Consider the following 27,758-nt stretch of genomic DNA (forward strand, 5'->3'; position numbering starts at 1 on the left):
CCAACACACAGTATATTTATTCATAAAAAAAATTTCTGAACCTACTATGTTATCATTCTTGATTACTAAATTTCTCAATTATCTTTGCTTTATCTACAATGTGAAATTTGTCAGAAAGACCAAAGCTCAAATCTCAATTCTACTACTTGCTAATTATGTGACCTTGAACAATTTATTTCACTACTCTGAGGCTGAGTTTGCTTATTTGTAAAATACAGATAATTAACAACTGCCTCCCATTGTTGTTAGGATTTCATAATAATATGTAAGTAGGGCACAGTCCTGTTATGATGGTGGTTCTACCTCTCTCTTTTAGGGAAGGAATTATCTCCTGTAGCATTCTATATATTGCTCTGAACACAGTATATGTAACAAATAATTGGTGCTTGGTTGTTTAAGCAATTAAATAAGTCAACAAAAATTGTGAATCCTTAATGCATAAAAACAAATGCCAAATAGGTTTAAGACCTAAATTTTGAAAGCAAAATTTTAAGATTCTTAGAAGAAAACATAAAAATGTTACCCTTATGGTCTTTGAGCAGAAAAACTTTGTAAACAAGATATAGAAAGCATAAACAATGAAGAAAAAGATTTCTTAAGCTGACTACATGAGATTTTTAATTTTCTGCATCAAAAACCATCATTTAAAAGAAAACAATCATAAAAGACTGGAATTTATACATTCAACAAAGGAGTCAGCATCAATAATATTTAACTAGTACATTTGTCTTAGTCCATTTGGGCTACTATACCAAAATATCAAAGACTCTGACTTATGAACAATAAACATTTACTTCTCACAGTTCTGGAGACTGAGAAGTCCAATATCATGGCAAAGGCAGATTCACTGTCTCATGAGGGCCCGCTTACTTCTTAGAAGACAGCTGTCTTTTCCCTATGTCCTCAAATGGCAAAAAGGGCAATGGAGCTCTCTAGGACCTCTTTCCTAAAGGCACAAATCTCATTCATGAGGGTTCCACCCTATCACCTCCAAAAGGCCTCCAAATACCGTCATATTGGAGATTAAGTTTCAACATGTGAATTTTGGGAAGACATAAACATTAAGTCTATAACAGTATCCATAAAAACATTACTTTAAAATAATATAAACACTTATGAATCAGTATAAAAAATAGAAAACGGATTCATTATGAACTTTTGAAATGATGCTCAACCTCTCTACTTATCAGGAAAATGCAAATTAAAACCAAAATGAGATCGCTTTTCATATTCATTGAATTGGTTTGCGAGAACTACAGTAATTAAGTACCTGGGTAGCTTAAACAACAGTAATGTCTATTCTCACAGTTCTGGAGCTTAGAAATCTGAGATCAAGGTATCAGTAGTGTTGGTTTCTCCTGAGAGTTGTGAGGAAAGGATCTGTGCCAAGCCTCTCTCCTTGGCTTGTAGATGGCTGTCTTCTCCCAATGTCTTCACATTGTCTTCTGTTCAAATCTTTGTTCAAATTTCTCCTTCTTATAAGAATACCAATCATACTGGATTGTGGCCCACCCTAAAGACCTCATTTTAATTTAATTACCTCTTTTAAAGACCCTATCTCCAAAATACCATTACGTTCTGAGGTACTAGGGGTAGGACTTCAACACATGAATTTTGTGGGGGAGGGGACACAATACAGCCCATAAGACTTAAAAAATTGGCAAATAATTTTTCAGTCTGGTAACACCAAGTATTGGCAAGGAATGGGGAGAAAAAGAAATCTCATACTTTGCTGATGGAAGTATAAATCGGCACAATCACTTTAGAGAACATGCAGTAAACCTGAAGATAGACATTGTAATCCAGTAATTCCACAACTATGTATTTAGTCTAGAGAAACACTGGCAAATGTGACTCAAAAACAGTTACAAAATATTCTAGCTACATTATGATAAACAAAATATGGAAATATCCTAATTGTCCATCAACAGGAGAAAACACAAGTACATTCTGGAATGTCTTTATAATGATATACCATGAAGCAAGAAAAAAAAAGTGAACAGGAGCTACAAGTATCCATAAGGATGAATCTCATAGATGTGATATTGAACAAAAAAAGGCGAGCTGCAAAAAAATGCAACATCATAACATTTATATGCAACTTAAAATATGCAAAATAAAACATATATTGTTTATGGATATACATGTGTAATGAGAGCATATGCACACTTAACTATTTTTAAACCAATAAATAAATTCCCAAATGTTAACTATTTTTCCACCAGAACATTCAATAATATAAATTCTTAATTAGGCTCCAAGAAATAAGTACTCTTACCAAAAGCACACACAAGTCAATTAAAAAACAAGTGAACTGTAAATTCAGTGACAATTAAATAAAAAGAATCTATTCTGGAGCCTTTAAGGTTCTGTCTTTTTCAGCTGCACACAGGAAAAAAAACTAAATGTCATGTTTCAATAGTGTTTAAACTATCCTGCACACATGCAAAAAAAATACCACATGCACATTTAAGTAAAACTCTTTCAAAATAGGCAAAACAGGATGGTGTAGCACAAAGAGACTACATTTACTCCAATCTGTAATGAAATCCTGGTTTTGCCTCGCTGGCTGGGTGGGTTTAGCAAGTCACTTATTCAACTTATCTCAGCCTCACTTTCTTCATATGTAAAATCATATAAACTTCAGTTTTCTCATTTGTAAATTCCCTCACTTTCTTCATATGTAAAATCATATAAACTTCAGTTTTCTCATTTGTAAATTCCCCATTCAGTTTCCTTCTGGAAAGGTTTGTGTTTATGTTCGGTATCTACACATAACGTGCTCAAATGGCACCTGTACGGGTAGAATGGTATTTGATCAGTACAGTAGAAATTAAGATAAAAGTGTTATTGAGTATCAGCAAGATGGCAGAATAGGGCTCTCTAATGCTTGTCTCTCCCACAGAAACATCAATTTGAACAATTGTCCATGCACAAAAATACTTTCACAATAGGTAAGGAAACCAAGAGATTACAGCACCTGGGTACAGCACCAAAATAAGAAAACATGCATGGAAGAGGGTAGAAAGAACAGCTTTACATTACCCATTTCACCCAACTCCAGGCAGCACAGGGAGAGATACCTTCCACTTGAGAGAAGGAGAGGGCAGTGAGTACAAGACTTTGCCTCAGATTCCAAAGCTAGGCCCACCCCCAATAAAGCCTAGCACCAGGAAGACCCCCAACAGCCCCAAACTCCAGGTCTGTATAGCAAATTAAGTATCCAGGCTGCCCCATGACCAGGCTGACCCCAGTGGCCCCAGTCTGTAGACTGCCCCCAGCATCAGGCTAGCCCTCACAGCCACAGGCTTCAGGCCTGCCCCAGTACCAGGCCAAACCCACATAGTCCTAGTCATTGGGCCAGAACCTATGGACCCAGCCCCCAGGCCAGCCACTGTGGATGGAGACTCCAGGCTTGTCCAGTGCCAGACCAGCCCCCTGCAGCCCCAGACTCCTGGCTGCTACCCGCAGACTGAGCTTCCAAACCTGCCCCAACACTATATAGGATCCTGCAGCCCCAGGGTCCAGGTCTACAGAGCAAATTTGAGCTCCAAGCCTGCCACAGCACAAGGCTAAGCCCAGAGGCCCCAAGCTCCAGATCAGACCCAGCAGAAGACATGACCTGCAGAATCAGGCTCCAGACCAACCCCAAGGCCAGGCCAGCCCCTGTGGCCCCAGGCTGCAGACCACCCCTAGCACCAAGCTGGATGCCAAAGTCCCAAGCTTCAGGCCCACTTGACCATCAGGCCAACTCCTGCAGCCTTAATGACCAGGCCAGAACCCATGGACCTTGCCTCCAGGAAGACCTCTGTGAATATAGGATCCAGGCTCCACCCAGTCCAAGCTAGCTCCTATGGCCCCAGGCTTCTATCCCACCCCAATGCCAGCTTGGCTCCCCTGGCCTTAAACAGCAGGCAGGCACCAAGACCTAAGCTCCAGGCCTTCCCAGTGCAAGGCCAGTCCCCATGGTCCCATGCTCAAGGCCAGATCCTATGGTCCAATGATGCTACAGTAACCCAGAGTCCAGGAGACCCCAGAAGAACCAGTCCCCACGAACCCAGGCTCTAGGACCACCTCTGTGTACCTACTACTCAATCTGGTTCCTTGTCCCAAGACCCAGGCTAGGCTTTATGGATCCAATCCCTAGGCCAGGTCCTAGACCTGTGCCTCTAAGGCAATACCAGCAGGCACAGGCTCCAGACCCAAAGATCCCAGGCTCCAGGCCAGCCTAATGGTCCCAGGTATCAGGCAAGTACTTGTGATCCTAAGCTCCAAACCAGTGCCCACAGACCCAGGCTCCACATGGACCCCAGCATCAGGCTAACCCCAGGCTCCAGGCTGGTCCCAGTGGCCCAGACTCTAGAAAACCCAGAGTCCAGACCTGTTCCAGCAGACCCATGGTCCACCCCCAGTCCCAGTCTAGACCTTACAGACTAAGGCTCCAAGACCACCCCTTCTGACCCAGGTTCCATGATAGCCTTTGTGGACCCAGGAAATATTTGATATATATCTGCTATATAAGATATCTGATATATAGGAAAATATACATATATCTCTCTGATATATAAGATTTCATAAAGGAGAAAAGAAAGAGAAAGACAAAGCGTAGCAGAAAACTTTTCAAATTTGGAGAAAGATATAAATATCCAAGTAGAGGAACAGATACAGGCCTCCAGTCAGATTCAACCCAAACAAGACTACAAAATGACAATATGTCAAAAATCAAGGACAAAGAGAGGATCCTATTAGCAAGAGAAAATTAGCACGAGGATCCTTATTAGTGAGAGAAAATAAGCAAACCATATATGAATAAGTTCCAATAAGGCTAGCAACAAATTTCTCAGCAGGGACGTTACAGGCCAAGAGAGAGTGAGATGATGTATTCAAAGTGCTGAAGTGTAAAAAATTTTTTTTAAAAAATGTGCCAACTAAGAATACTGTATCTAGCAAAGCTGTTTTTCAGAAATGAAAGAGAAATAAAGACTTTCACAGACAAACAAAAGCTAAGGGAGTTTATCACCAACAGCCCTATCTTACAAGAGATGCTAGAGGGAGTATTCAACCTAAAAGAAAAGGATGCTAATTAATAAGTAACGCAAAAACAACTAAAAGCATAAAACTCAATGGTAAAAGAAAGCAGACAATCAAATCCAGAATACTCTAACTGCAATGGTGATATGTAAATCACTTATAACTTTAGTATGAAGGTTAAAAGACAATCTATTAAGAATAATAGGCCAGGCGTGGTGGCTCACACCTATAATCCCAGAACTTTGGGATGCCAAGGCAGGTAGATCACTTGAGGTCAGGAGTTCAAGACCAGCCTGGCCAACATGGTGAAACCCTGTCTCTACTAAAAATACAAAAATTAGCCAGGCATGGTGGAGGGCACCTGTAATCCCAGCTACTCAGGAGGCTGAGGCAGGAGAATCACTTGAACCCAGGATGCAGAGGTTGCAGTGAGCCAAAAAAAAAAAAAAAAGAATAATAATAGCTACAATACTTTATTAAGGTATATACAATATAAAAAGATGCAAATTGGCCCGGGTCTTCCAGGAGTCGGGTTGCTTGGGAATGCAGCCCAAAGCGGGTGGTAAACTCCATTTAAGGCTAAATACCGGCACGAGACCGATAGTCAACAAGTACCGTAAGGGAAAGTTGAAAAGAACTTTGAAGAGAGAGTACAAGAGGGCGTGAAACCGTTAAGAGGTAAATGGGTCAGGTCCGCGCAGTCCGCCCGGAGGATTCAACCCGGTGGCGGATCTTTCCCGCCCCCCGTTCCTCCCGACCCCTCCACCCGCCCTCCCTCTCCCACCGCCCCTCCTCCTCCTCCCTAGGCATTACCATTCAGGACATAGGCATGGGCAAAGACTTCATGTCTAAAACACCAAAAGCAATGGCAACAAAAGCCAAAATTGACAAATGGGATCTAATTAAACTAAAGAGCTTCTGCACAGCAAAAGAAACTACCATCAGAGTGAACAGGCAACCTACAAAATGGGAGAAAATATTCGCAACCTACTCATCTGACAAAGGGCTAATATCCAGAATCTACAATGAACTCAAACAAATTTACAAGAAAAAAACAAACAACCCCATCAAAAAGTGGGCGAAGGACATCAACAGACACTTCTCAAAAGAAGACATTTATGCAGCCAAAAAACACATGAAAAAATGCTCACCATCACTGGCCATCAGAGAAATGCAAATCAAAACCACAATGAGATACCACCTCACGCCAGTTAGAATGGCTATCATTAAAAAGTCAGGAAACAATAGGTGCTGGAGAGGATGTGGAGAAATAGGAACACTTTTACACTGTTGGTGGGACTGTAAACTAGTTCAACCATTGTGGAAGTCAGTGTGGCGATTCCTCAGGGATCTAGAACTAGAAATACCATTTGACCCAGCCATCCCATTACTGGGTATATACCCAAAGGATTATAAATCATGCTGCTATAAAGACACATGCACACATATGTTTATTGTGGCACTATTCACAATAGCAAAGACTTGGAACCAACCCAAATGTCCGACAATCATAGACTGGATTAAGAAAATGTGGCACACATACACCATGGAATACTATGCAGCCATAAAAAATGATGAGTTCATGTCCTTTGTAGGGACATGGATGAAGCTGGAAACCATCATTCTCAGCAAACTATCGCAAGGACAAAAAACCAAACACTGCATGTTCTCACTCATAGGTGGGAATTGAACAATGAGAACACATGGACACAGGAAGGGGAATGTCACACTCTGGGGACTGTTGTGGGGTGGGGAGAGGGGGGAGGGATAGCATTGGGAGATATACCTAATGCTAGATGACGAGTTAGTGGGTGCAGCGCACCAGCATGGCACATGTATACATATGTAACTAACCTGCACATTGTGCACATGTACCCTAAAACTTAAAGTATAATAACAATAAATAAATAAACAAATAGAAAAAAAAAAGATGCAAATTGTGACATCAAAAATTTAAAATGTGGAAGGATGGGTCAGGATCACTCATTAGAAGCAGCTAGTACACACCTCCTCCATGAAAAGGAACCAGAATAGTAAATAAACACTTTGAATAGATCATCTAAGAGAGACTTAGATTCAACAAAGAAGTGATGAGAAGTACTGAATGTGAGTAAGGAGAGGGAAGGGGGCAGCTCTCTTGGCTGGGGATCAGCTGGGAGCCAGAAAAAGCTCCTGGATGCAGGGAAAGGGTAAAAGAGAAACCCCCAGGGTTCTACACTCTCACCGCAGGCTTTTGCATTCTTGGCTATGAGAGAACCTCTTGGCCCACAGACCTTTGGCCTGACATGAGGAACAGACTAGAGACTGTACCAAGATGTCGCTCCAGACGGGGAACCCACATGGAGTCCCACAGGTATCTGAGCCCTGAGCAGCTGCTTCTTGGTGCCATCCTGAGAACTTTGCTGCTTAGAATCTGCATCCTGTCCTGAGGCAGGACTGACACAGCCAGTGCAGCTGCCACCACTAGGCTGGGACGGGAAAGGGGAGACTGGGCACTCCCACAGACAACTAGGATAGTCCACATCATCATGCTAGAGGCTACTGTGAAACCAAAGAATGAGTAGACTTCACTCCTCATGTCTACTTGCCCACAGTGCGCCATCTGAGAGGGGCCCAGCCTTCCCTGGTGGTAGGCCCACAGCTGACATTTTGACAGTTTAGTCACTGGAGGTCTGCACCCTACCCTTGAGCTGGGCTAGGGTTGTTGCTGCTGCAGCAGCTGCCAGTCCAAAAAGGGAAAGAGGAGACCAGGCACTCCCATGACCCCTAGAAAAGTTCCCACTGCCCTGTGTGGGCTGCTGTGAGACCAGAGCAAGAGCAGTATGCATTCCCCAAAGCTTCTTGCCCACAATGCTCTAACTGAGAGGGGCCTCATCCTTCCTGGTGGTAGGCCCACAGCACAGCCACCAAAGCCCACAGGGAACATTCCACCAGTACACTGGAAATCACCCTGCCTCTGCCTATTTCAGCCAGTGCCTAAACACACTACCAGGGAGCCTGTGAACAAGTCTACTTGCCTAATCCTATCCCCCAAGTACTTGAGCATGCCATCCAGAAGCCTGGAAATTTTTTAGCCCAGTCTACCACCATTGGCACCTGATTAGTCCTGCCAAGATTTGAGGTCAGGCTGACCCAACCTACTGATACCACCACAGCTGACACCCACACACACATGGTACCAGCAGGCCAGGGGACTGGAATGCCCACCCATAGCAGTCACCACCAACACCAGTATGGATCACTTGGATTCCAGTAGGTTGCTTTACCACTGCTACTGCCATCACCCTTATCACACCTGCTGCCCAGGGCCTGAGTGCCTGCCCACAAGCCTGGCCCCCCCTGCTACTACCAGCATCCAAGCAAGCCACCTGGGGATCCAAGAATTGGCGCTCCAGGACCACTAACAGGTGCGAGAGTAATCTGCTCTGGGGCCTTAAAAGAGACACCACCACTGCCACCACCAAGACCTAAACAATGGTCCAACTAGTGTCCTAGTCCCATGCATAACTTCACCAACATCTCCACTAATAATCATACCCTAAACCACCGAGAAGTTCAAGATACCACTGACCCTGTGTGCTGATTAAAAAAAAAAAAACAGAGATCACACTACTTGCTGCAGGCCCCAAAATCAAAGCCAAAAACTTCCTATTCAGCCAACAATGTATATACAAGATATATATATATCTTGTATGTCTTCAGGAAAAATCCTCCCCCATGAAAGCAACTTCAGAAAAATTGGAAGAAGTGACTATTACACCAGATATGTAGACATGAATGTAAGAGCACAGAAAACAGCAAAAAGCAAGGAAATATGATACCATCAAAGGAACACAACAATTCCCTGAAATAAATCACAATCAAAAATAAATTCACAAAATCCCAGATCAAGAATTCAAAATACTGATTTTAAAGATGCTCAGTGAGATACAAGAAAACTCTACAAAATAATACCAAAAAATTAAAAAAAAAAAAAAACCTCAGGATATGATGAAAATTTTACCAAAAAGATAGGTATTTCTAAAAAGAACCAAATAGAACTTATGGAACTGAAAAATTAATTGGAGAAAATACAAAATAAACTCAAAAGTTTTAAAAATAGACTAGAGCAAGCAGAAGAAACAATTTCATAACTTGAAGACAGGTATTTTGAAATAATCCAGTCAGACAAAAATTTTTAAAAAAATAAGAAAGAAAAAAGCCTTTAAGATGTTTGGCAGTACATAAAATGACAAAATTTACAAATTATTGGTAGTTCCAAGGGTGAAGAGAGATCAAAAGACTTAGAAAAAATAATAGATGAAAATTTCCCAAGTCTAGCAAGACATTTAGACATACAGATACAGGAGGCTCAGTGATCCCCAGGAAAACAATGCAAAGAAGATTTTGCCATGGCACATTATAATCAGACTGTCTAATATGGTTTGGCTCTGTGTCCCCACCCAAATCTCATCTTGGACTGTACTCCCATAATTCCCATGTGCTGTGGGAGGGACCCAGTGGGAGATAATTAGAATCATGAGGGTGGTTTCCCCATACTGCTCTTGTGGTAGTGAATAAGTCTCATGAGATCTGATGGTTTTATTAGGGATTTTTGCTTTTGCATCTTCCTCATTTTTCTCTTGACACTGACATGTAAGAAGTGCCTTTTGGCTGGGTGCAGTGGCTCACGCCTGTGATCCCAACACTTTGGGAGGCTGAAGTGGGCGGATCACGAGGTCAGGAGTTTAAGACCAGTCTGGTGAATGTGGTGAAACCCCATCTCTACTAAAAATACAAAAATTAGCTGGGTGTAGTGTGAGGCACCTATAGTCCCAGCTATTCAGGAGGCTAAGGAAGGAGAATCGCTTGAACCCAAGAGGCAGAGGTTGCAGTGAGCCGAGATCGCACCACTGCACTCCAGCCTAGGTGACACAGGGAGACTGCGTCTAAAAAAAAAAAAACAACAACAACAACCACAACAAAAAGTGTCTTTTACCTCCTGCCATGATTCTGAGGCCTCCCCAGCCATATGAAACTGTAAGTCCAATTAAGTCCAATTAAACCTCTTTTTCTTCCCAGTCTCAGGCATGTCTTCATCAGCAGTGTGAAAACGGACCAATACACTGTCTAAATTCAAACTGAGAGACTGAATTCTAAAATCAGCAAGAGAAAGGTATCAAGTTACCTATAAAGGAAACCCCTTTAAATAAACAAGAGTATTCCCAGCAAAGCCTTATGGGCCAGAAGAGAATGGAATGACATATTCAAAGTGCTGAAAGAAAACAACTGGAAGCCCATAATTCTATATCTAGCAAGATTAATGTTCATAAATGAAGGAGAAATAAAGTCTTTCCCAGACAAGGAAATGATGACAGAATTCATCACCACTATACAAACCCTAAAAGAAATGTTCAATGAAGTCCCAAACTTGGAAGTGATGGAACAACATTCACCATCAAGAAAACACAAAGTATAAAACTCATTGGTAAATTAAACACACCAAAGAGGAAGAAAAAAGAATCAGATGATACCACTATAGAATTCTACCAAACCACAATGACAGGGAAAAAGAAATAAATAATTTAGAAAACAACCAGAAAAAATTAACAACATGACAAAGAAAAGCTCATATATCAGTATTAACCTTGAACATATACAATTACAGGCTCCACTTAAGAGATACAGATTGGAAAAATGCATGAAAAAAATCATCCAACTATATACTGCTTATAATAACCCAATCTTACCTAGAAAGAAACACATAGACTAAAAGTAAAGAGGTAGAAAAGAATATTCCACACAAACAAAAACCAAAAACAAGCAAGAATAGCTACACTTACATCAGATAAAATGGTCATGGACAGTGAAAAAACATTATGTCACTATATAATAATAAAGGTATCAACTCAGCAAGAGGATATAATCATTCTAAATATATATGCACCCAACACTGCAGCACGCAGATTCAGAAAACAAATATTATTAGACCTACAGAGAGAGGGACAGTAAAACAATAATAGTGGGGACTTCAACACCCCCACTGATAACACTAGACAAATCATCGAGACCGAAAATCAACAAAAAAACATGAAACCGAAATTGGACTTTACACAAAAGGGACCAAACCAGAACATTTTACTCAACAACTTCAGAATACACATTCTTTACATCAGCACATGGAAGGTTCTCTAAGATGAACCATATGTTAGGCCACAAACTAAGTCTCAACAAATGTTTAAAAATCATATTTTTGAAAATCAAAATCATATCAAGTATCTTCTCAGATCATAGTGGAATAAAACTAGAAATCAACACCAAGAGAAACTTCAGAAGCTATACGAACACATGGAAATTAAACAACATGCTCCTAAATTATCACTGTGTCAACAAATAAATTATGAAGGAATTTTTTTAATGTTTTCAACTTTTCTTTGAAAGGACATGCAAAAAATGAGTAAATAAAAATAAAAATATTTTTTTCTTGTCCAGGTGTGGTGCAGCACTTTGGGAGACCAAGCTATAAGGATTTTTTGAAGTCAGGAGTTCAAGACTACCTTGGACAACAAAGCAAGATCCTTGTCTCTACAAAAACTTAAAAATTAGCCAGGTGCAGTGGTATGTACCTGTAGTCCTAGCTACTCTGGAGGCTGAGGTGAGAGGATCAATTAAGCCCAAGAATGTGAGACTGCAGTAAGCTATAATCATGCCACTGCACTCCAGCCTGGGTGACAGAATAAAATCCTCTCTCTAAAGAAAAACAAAAAATAAATATATTTGAAACAAATGAAAATGAAAACACAAACATACCAAACCCTGTGGAACACAGCAAAAATAATGCTAACAGGGAAGTTAGCACTATTTTTGTAGAAAATAGTGAAAAAATAGTAGAAAGTAGAAAAATTACAACTTAACAATCTAACAACTAGTTAGATTGAACAACTAGTTCAAGGAACTAGAAAAGCAAGAACAAACCAAACCCAAAGCTAGAAGAAGAAATGAAATAACAAACATCAGAGCAGAACTAAATGACAAAAAAATCTTAATAATATAATCAATGAAATGAAAAATTTGTTCTTTCAAAAGAAAAACAAACTTGAAAAACCATGAGCTAGAATAACCAACAAAAAAAGAAAGAAAACTCAAATAAACAAAATCAGAAATGAAAAAGGAGACATTACCAGTCATACCACAGAAATACAAAAGATCATCAGAGATGATTATGAAGCACTATATGCTCACAAACTATATGCTCAAAACTTAGAGGAAATGGATAAATTTCTAAAATCATACAACCTCCCCAGATTCAACCAGGAAAAAATAGAAAACCTGAACAAACCAGTAACAAGTAGCAAGACTGAATCACTAATTTAAAAAACTTCCAACAAAGATGAATTGTACCAAAAGTACAAAGAAAAACTAATACCAATCCTCCTGAAACTTTTCAAAAATTCAAAAAGGGAAGAATTATCCCGAATTCAATCTATGAGGCCGGTACCATCCTGATACCAAAACCAGACAAGGATACAACAAAAAAGAAAACTATAGACCAATATCCCTGATGAATATATACATAAAAACTCTCAACAAAATACTAGCAAACTGAATCCAACAACACAATAAGAAGATAATACATTATGATCAAATGGGTTTTATAACAGAAATGCAAATGAATTTTATACTAGAGATGCAACAAACGTGATACCTTATATAAACAGAATAAAGGACAAAAGCCATATGTTCATTTCAATAGATATAGAAAAGGCATTTGATAAAATTCAGCATCCTTTCATGATAAAAACTCTCGAATTAGGCATAGAAGAAGCATACTTCAAAATAGCAAAGGCCATGTGTGACAAACCTACAGTTAACATTATACTGAATAGGAAAAAGATGAAAGCATTTCCTCTAAGAACTGGAACAAGACAAGGATGACCACTTTCACTCCTGTTCTTCAACATAGTACTGGAAGTTCTAGCCAGAGCAATCAAGCAAGAGAAAGAAATAGTCACCCAAATTGTAAAGAAAAAAGTTAAATTGTCCCTGTTGGCAGATTTTCATGATCTTACAAATAAAAACACTAACCACATCAAAAAAAACTATTCTAATTAAATAAAGTTGCAGGATACAAAATCAACACAGGAAAATCAGTACTGTTTCTACATGCTAACAAGAAACTATCCAAAAAAGAAATTTATTTAAAACCTACTTACAATAGCTACAAAAAATAAAATACTTAGAAATAAATTTAACCAAGGAGGTGAAAGACCTGTATACTGAAAACTAAAACACTGGTTAAAGAAATAATGGAAGTCACAAATAAATAGAGAGATATCCTATGTTCATGAATTGGAAGTATTAGTATTATTAAAATATCCATACAACACAAAGCTATCTATAGAGACAATGCAATCACTGTCAAAATTTTAATGACATTTTCACAGAAATAAAAAAATCGTAAAATTCGTGTGAAACTACAAAAGGCCCTGAATAGCCAAACCAATATTAAGCAAGATGATCAAAGCTAGAGGCATCACACAACCTGACTTTGAAATATACTACAAAGCTAGAATATCAAAACAGCAAGATACTCTCATAAAGCCAGACACATAAATCAATGGTAAGAATAGTTAACAATGTAATATATTCTTGAAAATTGTTTAGAGCAAATTTTCAGTGTAGTCACTACAAAAAAAGATAACTATATGAAGTAATATACATGTTAATTCGCTCAATTTAGCCATGCCACATATGCATATTTCAAAACAATATGTACACAATAAATGTGTATTCGGTTGGTGCAAAAGTAATTGCAGCAAAATTTGCCATTAATGGCAAAAACCGCAATTACTTCTGCACCAAGCTATAAAATTTGCATTTCTCAATCAAAAAATTGTAATTGCTATTAATTACAATGAAGCCATTTATCTGCATTTTATATATAACTACAAAAAACAAACCACTAATATAGAGGAAGCTGTCTAGATATACCATGGTTTTCTAAAAAAAACTGCAGTGTAAACTTTCACATTCAAATCAGATAGTCATGACTAAGGTAACCCCACTCATCTGTATTTCTGTTTTCTTTTAACATTAATATTCCATTTATATTTAACATTTTTGTTTTGCTTTTTATCATCTCAAATTCTTTTTGGAGAAGTACAGAAAATAGATTTATACAAATAAAATTAAGTGTCTGCTTCCCTTTATTATGTCAAATGAATGCAACCGGATATATTAGCATCAAATTGGGAGGGTATATTTGGGATGGTCTGACTTAAAATATAGGTTACATGGCACACTAAAATTCATGGAGTGTCCCTAGGGAGGTACCTTAAAAGGATAAACAATGAACTTCTTCTAGCAGCTGAACCTGAGGTATAATGAGTAGCTCAAATGACGGTTGATAGGGAGAAACATCATATTGTTAAGGTATAAAAAGAAAAAATAAGTTGCCTTTACATGCCCTAAATTAAAAGTCACAACATCAGACATTTCAAGCTGAAGATGCTGATTTTTGTTGGAGTGACTTTTGAAGGAGTTAGCGCTAAGTATCATACTCCAAGCTATAAAAAAAAAAGAGCTTTATTTTAAAAACCATGGTTAATAATTTTCCTGAGTCATATTGGCAGGCTAACTATAAGTAAAAATATGTTGAAATAACCAGAAACAACTAGTAATCAGGAGGTTTATGAACTGAGTACTGATGAGTTGATTAAAGTACCCAGGAAGGTTTATATGGTAGTAGTACATGAGGTGCAATGTATTAGATTAAAACAAGCAGATTTTAAATGCTTTTGAAAGCATTTTCAAATAAGTAGAAGCTGAATAAACTTACAACTACACTATACTCCAACCACACTATCTTGCTCATTTCCATCTTATGGCCTTTGCAATTGCTGCTCTCTCTGCTTTTCTCCAAGATCTTTTCAAGCCTTACTCCTCATTTCACTAAGTCTCTGCTTAAATGTCACCTTCTAAAGAGGACTTCTTTGACCTCATCCAAAATAACGCTGCCTTAGTATGCTTGTTTGCTAGAACAAAGTACCATGAACTGCGTAATTTATAAACAATAGAAATTTAGCTGGGTTCACTGGCATGTGTCTGTAATAACAACTACTTGGGAGTTGTTATTTTGGCAGGAGAATTGCTTAAGCCCAGGAGTTCGAGGTGCAGCGAGCTATGATTGTGCCCCTGCACTGCAGCCTGGGCAACAGAGCAAGATCCCATGTCAGAGAGGAGAGAAGGGGAGGGGAGGAGAGGGGAGAGAAAAGGAGGGGAGGGTAGGAGAGAAGAGGGGAGGGGGAGAGAAAGAGAGACAGAGAAAGAGAGAGGGAGGGAGGGAAGGAGGGAGGAAGGAAAGGAGGGAAGGAGGGAGGAAGGAAGGGAGGGAAGAGAGGGAGAGAAAAGAAAAGAAGAAAGGAAAGAAAGAAAAAGAAAAAGAAATTTATTTCTCATAGTTCTGGAGGCTGGGAATTCCAAGATGAAGGCACCAGTAGGATTGGCATTCAGTGAGGGCTGCTCTATATTTCCAAGATAGTCCCTTGTTGCTGCATCCTCTGGAGGAAAGAAAAATCATGTCTTCATATGACAGGAGAGAAAGAAGGGTAACAGAGTGCTTCCTTCAATCTTGACCCCTTATATAAGGATACTAATCCCACTTGTGACGGCAGAGCCTTCATGACTTAATTACCTCCCAAAGATTACATCTTTAATACTGTTGCATTGGGGATTAAGTTTCAACATGACTGTTGGAGGGAACACCATCACTTGAACCACAGCAAACCTTACTGTCTTTTATTTTACTCTGCTTTAATTTCCTTTATAACATGTATTGATTTTTGGTAAATTACCCATGCTCCAAACAAGGTAGAAAATAATTAAAGCCTTAGAAAAGAAAAGGAATTGTTCTTAAAAAAATTACTGAACAAAATAGCTCAGTGTGTCTAGTTATATATTTACAGCCCAAAATCTTGGTTGATGTGGTAACTGGGAAAAACAAAACCACTATCTTTATTTCATCAATTGCTTCAGATAAAAAAGCATACACAAACAAGATTAAAAAAAAGGAAAGTAAGCAATGTTAAAATTTGGAGTGGCTTTTTTTTAATCTTAAAAGTAAGACAGTCTCCTGGATTATGCTGCTGACATACATTTTATATATTACATAAGCTTATAAAATACTCTTGGAAAATGCCTTCCCTGTGTTTTATCTTTAAAGAGTCCAAAGATTAATGAATCTCATAAAAATGATAAATTAGTATTTCAAAAGCACATTTGCAAAAGAAACCAATAAAGAGTTTTGGCTTTAAAAGAAAGTTAAGACGAAATATGAAAGAAGAAATTATGAAGCTCTTCAAAGAAACATAGAAGATATAATTAAATAACATTAGATTGTAGAATATTTTTTTAAAAGAAAACACAAAAAGCAACAATCATGAAGTAAAAGTGATACCATAAAAAAAACAGTGAAAAACATGCTACTAAATGAGACATTTATCCCATTAAACAAACAACAAAGGCCTCATTCATGGATTTTATAACAAAGTCCCACACATCAATAAGGAAAAGACAACCTGTTACAATAGTGGTCAAGAGACTTAAACAGATATTTTACAAAAATAATATACAAATGGCCAATGAACATATAAAGAGATTATTAACCTCACTAATAACTAAAATAATAGAAATTAAAACAGAAATAAGCAAATACTCATCCACTACATTGGCAAAAGTACTGACAATAAACGTTTTGGCAAAAATGTAGAACAATATAAAATCACTGCTCTTGAATGTTTAAGTTGGTATACCTACTTTGAAAGCTGGCAATACCTACTTAAATAGAAGAATCACATGCTCTAAAATCTAGCAATTCATCTCTTAGAAATATACTCTAGAAGTGAACAGGCAACCTACAGAATGGGAGAAAATTTCTGAAATCTATCCATCTGATGAAGGTCTAATACCTAGACTCTACAAGGAACTTAAACAAATTTAAAAGAAAAAACAAACAACCCCATCAAAAAGTAGGCAAAAGATATGAATAGACACTTCTCAAAGGAAGAGATTTATGCAGCCAACAAACATGAAAAAAAGCTCATCATCACTAGTCATTAGAAAAATGCAAATCAAAACCACAATGAGATACCATCTCATGCCAGTTAGAATGGTGATCATTAAAAACTCAGGAAACAACAGATGCTGGTGAGGATGTGAAGAAATAGGAATGCTTTTACACTGTTGGTGGGAGTATCAATTAGTTTAACCATTGTGGAAGACAATGTGGCAATTCCTCAAGGATCTAGAACCAGAAATACCATTTGACCCAGCAATTCCATTACTGGGTATATACCCAAAGTATTATAAATCATTCTATTATAAAGACATGCACACTTATGTTTATTGTGGCACTATTTACAACAGCAAAGATTTGGAACGAACCCAAATGCCCATCAGTGATAGGCTGCATAAAGAAAATGTGGCACATGATTGGCTTCCAAGATGGCCAAACAGGAAGAGCTCAGCTCTACAGCTCCCAGTGAGATCGACGCAGAAGACACGTGATTTCTGCATTTCCAGCTGAGGTACCTGATTCATCTCATTGGGACTGGTTGGACAGTGGGTGCAGCCCACAGAGGGCGAGCCAAAGCAGGGCACGGTGTCACATCACACAGGAAGTGCAACTGGTTGGGGGATTTCCCTTTCCTAGCCAAGGGAAGCCATGAGTTACTGTACCTGGAGGAACAGTATACTCCTGCCCAAATACTGCACTTTTCCCACAGTCTTCACAATCAGCAGACAAGAAGATCCCTTCCTGTGCCTGGCTCAGCAGGTCTCACTCCCATGGAGCATTGCTCACTGCTAGTGCAGCAGTCTGAGATTGACCTGGGACACGGGAGCTTGGCAAAGGGAGGAGCATCCACCATTGCTGAGGCTTGAGTAGGCAGTTTTATGCTCACAATGTAACAAAGTGGCAGGGAAGCTCAAACTGGGTGAAGCCCACTGCAGCTCATCAAGACCTTCTGCCTCTCTAGATTCCACCTCTGGGGACAGGGCATATCTGAACAAAAGGTAGCAAACAGCTTCCCCATACTTAAACGTCCCTGCTGGACAGCTCTGAAAAGACCAGTGGTTCTCCCAGCATGGCATATGAGCTCCAATAACAGACAGACTGCTTCCTCAAGTGGGTCCCTGATCCCCATGTAGCCTGACTGGGAGACACCTCCCAGTAGGGGCCAACAGACACCTCATACACGCTCGTGCCCCTCTCAGATGAAGCTCTCAGAGGAAGGATCAGGCAGCAATATTTGCTGTTCTGCAACCTCCACCAGTGATACCCAGGCAAACAGGGTCTGGAGCAGACCTCCATCAAACTCCAACAGACCTGCAGCTGAGAGGCCTGTCTGTTAGAAGGAAAACTAACAAACAGAAAGGAATAGTATCAACGTCAACAAAAAGGACGTCCACTCAGAGACTACAGCCAAAAGTCATTGACTTTAAAGACCAAAGCTAGATAAAACCACAAAGACGGGGAGAAACCACAGCAGAAAGGCTGAAAATTCCAAAAACCAGAATGCCTCTTCTCCTCCAAAGGAAAACAACTCCTCGCCAGCAAGGGAACAAAATGAGATGGAGAATGAGTTTGATGAGTTGACAGAAGTAGGCTTCAGAAAGTCACTAATAACAAACTTCTCTGAGCTAAAGAAGCATGTTCTAACCCGTCGCAAGGAAGTTAAATCCTTGAAAAAAGGTTAGACGAATGGCTAACTAGAATAGCCAGTGTAGAGAAGAACTTAAATGACCTGATGGAGCTGAAAACCACAGTACGAGAATTTAGTGAAGCATACACAAACTTCAATAGCCAATTTGATCAAGCAGAAGAAAGGATATCAGTGATTGAAGATGAACTCATTGAAAAAAACAAGGAGACAAGATTATAGAAAAAGGAGTGAAAAGAAAAGAACAAAGCCTCCAAGAAATCTGGAACTACGTGAACAGGCCAAATCTACAGTTGACTGGTGTACTGGAAAATGACTGGGAGAATGGAACCAAGTTAGAAAACACTCTTCAGGATATTATCCAGGAGAACTTCCCCAACCTGGCAAGTCAGGCCAACATTCAAATTCAGGAAATACAGAGAACACCACAAAGATATTCCTTGAAAAGAGCAACACCAAGACACAAAATTGTCAATTTCACCAAGGTTGAAATGAAGGAAAAAAATGTTAAGGGTAACCAGAGAGAAAGGTCAGGTTACCCACAAAGTGAAGCCCATCAGACTAAAAGCTGATCTCTCGGCAGAAACCCTACAAGCCAAAAGAGACAGGGAGTCAATATTCAACATTCTTAAAGAAAAGAATTTTCAATCCAGAATTTCATATCCAGCCAAACTAAGCTTCATAAGTGAAGGGGAAATAAAATCTTTTACAGACAAGCAAATGCTGAGAGATTTTGTCACCACCAGGTCTGCCTCACAGGAGCTCCTGAAGGAAGCACCAAACATGGATAGGAACAACTGGTACCAGCCACTGCAAAAGCATGCCAAATTGTAAAGACCATCGATGCTATGAAGAAACCACATCAATTAACAGGCAAAATAACCAGCTACCATCATAATGACAGGATCAAATTCACACATGACATTATTAACCTTAAATGTAAATGGGCTAAATGCCCCAATTAAAAGACACAGACTGGCAAATAAAATAAAGAGTCAAGAACCATCAGTGTGCTATATTCAGGAGACTCATCTGATGTGCAAATACACACACAGGCTCAAAATAAAGGGATGGAGGAAGATCTACAAAGCAAATGGAAAGCAAAAAAAAGCAGGGATTGAAATCCTAGTCTCTGATAAAACAGACTTTAAACGAACAAAGATCAAAAGAGACAAAGAATGCCATTACATAATGGTAAAGGTATCAATTCAACAAGAAGAGCTAACTATCCTAAATATATATGCACCCAATACAGGAGCACCCAGATTCATAAAGCAAGTCCTGAGAGACCTAAAAAGAGACTTAGACTCCCACACAATAATAATGGGAGACTTTAACACCCCATTGTCAATATTAGACAGATCAGCTAGACAGAAAATTAACAAGGATATCCAGGACTTGAACACACCTCTGCACCAAGCAGACCTAATAGACTTCTACAGAACTCCCCACCCCAAATCAACAGAATATACATTCTTCTCAGCACCACATCGCACTTATTCTAAAATTGACCACATAATTGGAAGTAAAAACACTCCTCAGGAATGTAAACAAACAGGAATCACAACAAACTGTCTCTCAGACCACAGTGCAATCAAATTAGAACTCAGGATTAAGTTCTAATTAATCCTAAACTGGCTCAAATCTGCACAACTACATGGAAACTGAACAACCTGCTCCAGAATGACTACTGGGTAAATAATGAAATTAAGAAATAAAGATGGTCTTTGAAACCAATGAGAACAAGGACACCATGTACCAGAATCTCTGGGACACATTTAAAGCAGTGTGTAGAGGGAAATTTATAGCACTAAATGCCCACAAGAGAAAGCTGAAGAGATCTAAAATCAACACATCAAAATTAAAACATCACAATTAAAAGAACTAGAGAAGCAAGAGCAAACAAATTCAAAAGCTAGCAGAAGGCAAGAAACAACTAAGATCAGAGCAGAACTGTAGGAAGTAGAGAAACAAAAAACCCCTTCCAAAAATTAATGAATCCTGGAGCTGGTTTTTTTAAAAGATAAACAAAATAGACCACTAGCAAAACTAATAAAGAAGGAAAGAGAGAAGAATCAAATAGACGCAATAAAAAATGATAAAGGGGATATCACCACTGATCCCACAGAAATACAAACTACCATCAGAGAATACTATAAACACTTCTATGCAAATAAACTAGAAAATCTAGAAGAAATGGATAAATTCATGGATAAATACAACCCCCAGGACTAAACCAGGAAGAAGTTTAATCTCTGAATAGACCAATAATAGGTTCTGAAATTGAAACAATAATTAATAGCCTACCAACCAAAAAAAGTCCAGGACCAGATGGATTTACAGCCAGATTCAACCAGAGTTACAAAGAGGAACTGGTACCATTCCTTCTGAAACTATGCCAATCAATTGAAAAAGAGGGAATCCTCCCTAACTCATTTCATGAGGCCAGCATCATCCTGATACCAAAGCCTGGCAGAGACACAACAAAAAAAAGATAATTTTAGACCAATAACCCTGATGAATATTGACGTGAAAATCCTCAATAAAATACTGGCAAACCAAATCCAGCAGCACAAAAAACAGCCTATCCACCATGATCACGTCTGCTTCATCCCTGGGGTGAAAGGCTAGTTCAACATATGCAAATCAATAAATGTAATCCATCACATAAACAGAACCAAGAACAAAAAACACATGATTATCTCCATAGATGCAGAAAAGGCCTCTGACAAAATTCAACAGCCTTTCATGCTTAAATCTCCCAATAAACTAGGTATCAATGGAACATATCTCAATATAATAAGAGCTATTTATGATGAACCCATAGCAAATATCACACTGAATGGGCAAAAGCTAGAAGCATTCCCTTTGAAAACTGGCACAAGACAAGGATGCCCTCTCTCACCACTCCTATTCAACACAGTGTTGGAATTCTGGCCAGGGCAATCAGGCAGGTGAAAGAAACAAAGTGTATTCAAATAGGAAGAGAGGAAGTCAAATTGTCTCCCTTTGCAGATGACATGATTGTATATCTAGAAAACCCCATCGTCTCAGCCCAAAATCTCCCTAAGTTAATAAGCAACTTCAGCAAAGTCTAAAGTTACAAAATCATCATTCTCAGTAAACTATCGCAAGAACAAAAAACCAAACACCGCATATTCTCACTCATAGGTGGGAATTGAACAATGAGATCACATGGACACAGGAAGGGGAATATCACACTCTGGGGACTGTGGTGGGGTCGGGGGAGGGGGGAGGGATAGCATTGGGAGATATACCTAATGCTAGATGACACATTAGTGGGTGCAGCGCACCAGCATGGCACATGTATACATATGTAACTAACCTGCACAATGTGCACATGTACCCTAAAACTTAGAGTATAATAAAAAAAATAAAAATAAAATAAATAAATAAATAAATAAAGTTACAAAATCAAAGTGTAAAATCACAAGCATTCCTCTACACCAATAACAGACAAACAGCCAAATCATGAGTGAATTCCCATTCACAATTGCTCCTAAGAGACTACAGTACTTAGGAATACAACTTATAAGAGATGTGAAGGACCTCTTCAAGGAGAACTACAAACCACTGCTCAAGGAAATAAGAGAGGACACAAACAAATGCAAAAACATTCCACGCTCATGGATAGGAAGAATCAATATCGTGCAAATGGCATTACTGCCCAAAGTAATTTATGGATTCCATGCTATCCCCATCAAGTTACCACTGACTTTCTTCACAGAATTGGAAAAAAATACTTTAAATTTCATATGCAACCATAAAAGAGCTCCCATAGCCAAGACAATCCTTGGCAGGAAGAACAAAGCTGGAGGCATCACACTACCTGACTTCAACCTTTACTACAAGTCTACAGTAAACAAAACAGCATGGTACTGGTACCAAAACATATATATAAACCAATGGAATAGAACAGAGGCCTCAGAAATAACAACACACATCTACCACCACCTGATCTTTGACAAACCCGACAAAAACAAGCAATGGGGAAAAGATTCCCTATTTAATAAATGGTGCTGGGAAAACTGGCTAGCCATATGCAGAAAACTGAAACTGGACCCCTTCCTTACACCTTATACAAAAATCAACTCAACATGGACCAAAGACTTAAACATAAGACCTAGGACCATAAAAATCCTAGAAGAAAACCTGTGAAATACCATTCAGGACATAGGCATGGGCAAAGGCTTCATGTCTAAAACACCAAAAGCAATGGCAACAAAAGCCAAACTAGACAAATGGGATCTAATTAAACTAAAGAGCTTCTGCACAGCAAAAGAAACTATCATCAGAGTGAACAGGCAACCTACAGAACGGGAGAAAATTTTTGCAATCTATCCATCTGACAAAGGGCTAATACCCAGAATCTACAAAGAACTTAAACAAATTTATAAGAAAAAAGCAAACAACCCATCAAAAAATGGGCAAAGGATATGAACAAACACTTCTCAAAAGAAGACATTTAGCTAGCCAACAGACATATGAAAAAATGCTCATCATCTCTGGTCATTAGAGAAATGCAAATCAAAACCACAATTAGATACCATCTCACACCAGTCAGAATGGTGATCATTAAAAAGTCAGGAAACAACAGATGCTGGAGAGGTTGTGAAAAATAGGAACTCTTTTACATTGTTGGTGGGAGTATAAATTAGTTCAACCATTGTGGAAGACAGTGTGGCAATTCTGTAAGGATCTAGAACTAGAAATACCATTTGACCCATCAATCCGATTACCAGGCATATACCCAAAGGATTATAAATCATTCTACGATAAAGACACATGTACACGTATGTTTATTGTGGCATTATTCACAATAGCAAAGACTTGGAACCAACCGCAATGTCCACCAATGATAGACTGGATTAAGAAAATGTGGCACATATACTCCATGGAATACTATGCAGCCATAAAAAAGGATGAGTTAATGTCCTTTGCAGGGACATGGATGAAGCTGGAAACCATCATTCTCAGCAAACTATCACAAGATCAGAAAACCAAACAGCTCATGTTTTCATTCATAAGTGGGAGTTGAACAATGAGAACACATGGAGACAGGGAGGGGAACATCACACACCAGGACCTGTGTGGGGTGGTGGGCTAGGGGAGGGATAACATTAGGAGAAATACCTACTGTAGGTGATGGGTTGATGGGTGCAGCAAACCACCACGACACGACACGTGTATACCTGTGTAACAAAACTGCACGTTCTGCACATGTAACCCAGAACTTAAAGTATAATAAAAAGAAAAAAAATGTGGCACATATATACCATGGAATACTATGCAGCCATAAAAAGAATGAGTTCATGTCCTTTGCAGGGACATGGATGAAGGTGGAAGCCATCATTCTCAGCAAACTAACATAGGAAGAGAAAACCAAACACCGCATGTTCTCACTTATAAGTTGGAGCTGAACAATGGGAACACATGGACACAGGGAGGGGAACATCACACACTGAGGCCTGTCGGCGGGTTGGGGGCAAGGGGAGGGAGAGCATTAGGACAAATACCTAATGCACGTGGGGCTTAAAACCTAGATGATGGGTTGATAGGTGCGGCAAACCACCATGGCACACATATACCTATGTAACAAACCCGCACATTCTGCACATGTATTCCAGAAGTTAAAGTAAAATTTTTAAAAAAGAAATATACTCTAGAAAAACTCATGTGTACCTGGATACACATATAAAGATGTTCATAGCAGCATTGATTTTAATAGCAAAGGCTGGAAACAACCCAAATGTCTACACACTCTACAATGGATACATTACAGCATAATCCTGCAATAGAATGATATATACCAATAAAAAATGAACAAACTAACACTATTCCCTACAATATAGAAGAAACTCATAAGCATACTCCCGTATGAAGAAGAAAGAACCAAAAGAATACATAAAGTATTATTCAATTTATATAACATTCATAAACAAGCAAACTAAACTATATATTTTAGGGATACCTACAGAGGTGATTAATTATTACACTGTATAGTAATTACACTGTACCATTATATTTTATACTTTTTTGCATTCAAGCTTTTTAAGGTTAAGTTTTAAAAGACTGAAGGAAAATACTTTTCTTGACACTTCTTTTCTTACTCCCCTACTTTGAGCCATCGACAAATTCTAATGACAATATATATTTAGTATCCAGCCACTTCTCAACTCTTTGATCTGAGTCACTATATTCTCTTTCCTTTTCCATTGCAGTTGACTTCTAACCAGTCTCCCTGTTTTCCCATATAACCTATTCACAAAGTATCCAGGATGGGTGCTATGGTTTGAATGTTCCCTCCAAAATGTAAGTTGAAACTTATCTCCAATATGACAGAATTGAACAGTAGGGTTTTTAAAAGGTGATTGGATAATGAAGGTTCTGCCTTCATGAATGAATTAATCCTATTCATAGATTAATGGGTTATCATGGGAGTGGAACTGGTGGCTTTATAAGAAAAGAAACAAAGACCAGGAATGGTGACCCATGCCTGTAATCCCAACACCTTGGGAGCCTAAGGTGGGAGGACAGATTGAGTTCAGGAGTTCAAGACCGAGCCAGGTAACACAGCAAGACATTATTTCTACTAAAAATCAAAAAATTAGTTGGGCATGGTGGCACACACCTGTAGTCCCAGCTATTCAGGAGGCTGAGGCATGAGGATCACTTGAGCCCTGGAGATTGAGGCTGCAGTGAGCTATGATCATGTCACTGTACTCCAGCCTGGGCAACACAGTGAGACCCTGTCTCAAGAAGGAGGAGGAGGAGGAGGAGGGACAGTGATGATGAGCATTTTGTCATGTGTCTGTTGGCTGCATAAATGTCTTCTTTTGAGAAGTGTCTGTTCATATACTTCGCCCACTTTTTGAGGGGGATGTTTGATTTTTTCCTTGTAAATTTGTTTAAGTTCTTTGTAGATTCTGGATATTAGCTCTTTGTCAGATGGGTAGATTGCAAAAATTTTCTCCCATTCTGTAGGTTGCCTGTTCACTCTGATGGTAGTTTCTTTTGCTGTGCAGAAGCTCTTTAGTTTAATTAGATCCCATTTGTCAATTTTGGCTTTTGTTGCCATTGCTTTTGGTGTTTTAGTCATGAAGTCCTTGCCCATGCCTATGTCCTGAATGGTATTGCCTAGGTTTTCTTCTAGGGTTTTTATGGTTTTAGGTCTAACATTTAAGTCTTTAATCCATCTTGAATTAATTTTTGTATAAGGTGTAAGGGAGGGATCCAGTTTCAGCTTTCTACATATGGCTAGCCAGTTTTCCCAGCACCATTTATTAAATAGGGAAACCTTTCCCCATTTCTTGTTTTTGTCAGGTTTATCAAATATCAGATGGTTGTAGATGTGTGGTATTATTTCTGAGGACTCTGTTCTGTTCCATTGGTCTATATCTCTGTTTTGGTAACAGTACCATGCTGTTTTGGTTACTGCAGCCTTGTAGTATAGTTTGAAGTCAGGTAGCGTGGTGCATCCAGCTTTGTTCTTTTGCCTTAGGATTGTCTTGGCAATGCAGGCTCTTTTTTGATTCCATATGAACTTTAAGGTAGTTTTTTCCAATTCTGTGAAGAAAGTCATTGGTAGCTTGATGGGGATGGCATTGAATCTATAAATTACCTTGGACAGTATGGCCATTTTCACAATATTGATTCTTCCTATCCATGAGCATGGAATGTTCTTCCATTTGTTTCATCCTCTTTTATTTCATTGAGCAGTGCTTTGTAGTTCTCCTTGAAGAGATCCTTCACATCCCTTGTAAGTTGGATTCCTAGGTATTTTATTCTCTTTGAAGCAATTGTGAATGGAAGTTCACTCATGATTTGGCTCTCTGTTTGTCTGTTATTGGTGTATTGGTGTACAGGAATGCTTGTGATTTTTGCACATTGATTTTGTATCCTGAGACTTTGCTGAATTTGCTTATCAGGTTAAGGAGATTTTGGGCTGAGACAATGGGGTTTTCTAAATATACAATCATGTCATCTGCAAACAGGAACAATTTGACTTCCTCTTTTCCTAATTGAATACCCTTTATTTCTTTCTACTGCCTGATTACCCTGGCCAGAACTTCCAACACTATGTTGAATAGGAGTGGTGAGAGAGGGCATCCCTGTCTTGCACCAGTTTTCAAAGAGAATGCTTCCAGTTTTTGCCCATTTAGTATGATATTGGCTGTGGGTTTGTCATAAAGAGGTCTTATTATTTTGAGATATGTCCCATCAATATCTAGTTTATTGAGAGTTCTTAGCATGAAGGGCTGTTGAATTTTGTCAAAGGCTTTTCTGCATTTATTGAGAAAATTATGTGGTTTTTGTCTTTGTTCTGCTTATATGATGAATTACATTTATTGATTTGCGTATGTTGAACCAGCCTTGCATCCCAGAGCTGAAGCCGACTTGATGGTGGTGGATAAGATTTCTGATGTGCTGCTGGATTTGGTTTGCCAGTATTTTATTGAGGATTTTTGCATTGATGTTCATCAGGGATATTGGTCTAAAATTATCTTTTTTTGCTGTGTCTCTGCCAGGCTTTGGTATCAGAACGATGCTGGCCTCATGAAATGAGTTAGGGAGGATTCCCGCTTTTTCAATTGATTGGAATAGTTTCAGAAGGAATGGTACTAGCTCCTCCTTGTACCTCTGGTAGAATCCAGCTGTGAATCCATCTGGTCCTGGACTTTTTGTGGTTGGTAGGCTATTAATTACTGCTTCAATATCAGAACCTGTTTTTGGTCTATTCAGGGATTTAACTTCTTCCTGGTTTAGTCTTGGGAGGGTGTATGTGTCCAGGAATTTATCCATTTCTTCTAGATTTTCTAATTTATTTGCATAGAGGTGTTTATAGTATTCTCTGATGGTAGTTTGTATTTCTGTGGGATCAGTGGTGATATCCCCTTTATCATTTTTTATTGTGTCTATTTGATTTTTCTCTCTTTTCTTCTTTATTAGTCTGGCTAGTGGTCTATTTTGTTGATCTTTTCAAAAAACCAGCTCCTGGATTCATTGATT

At 38.9% G+C, this 27,758-nt stretch overlaps 1 protein-coding gene across 12 annotated transcripts in view, besides 1 other annotated feature; it reads right to left on the reverse strand.

Moving 5' to 3' along the window:
• DLG2 (discs large MAGUK scaffold protein 2) overlaps window positions 1-27,758 on the reverse strand; it is a 2,173,362-nt gene that overhangs the window by 2,023,415 nt on the left and 122,189 nt on the right. The gene's annotated exons all lie outside the window — the stretch shown is intronic.
• Window positions 5,499-5,793: a silencer, noted in NCBI's record as "tiled region #9338; K562 Repressive DNase unmatched - State 24:Quies". NCBI's record gives its function as "represses a minimal TATA promoter and a strong SV40 promoter by Sharpr-MPRA in K562 cells {active_cell/tissue: K562}" and the evidence as "EXISTENCE:reporter gene assay evidence [ECO:0000049][PMID:27701403]".

Source organism: Homo sapiens, chromosome 11 (assembly GCF_000001405.40).
Source record: "Homo sapiens chromosome 11, GRCh38.p14 Primary Assembly".
Taxonomy (NCBI): domain Eukaryota; kingdom Metazoa; phylum Chordata; class Mammalia; order Primates; family Hominidae; genus Homo; species Homo sapiens.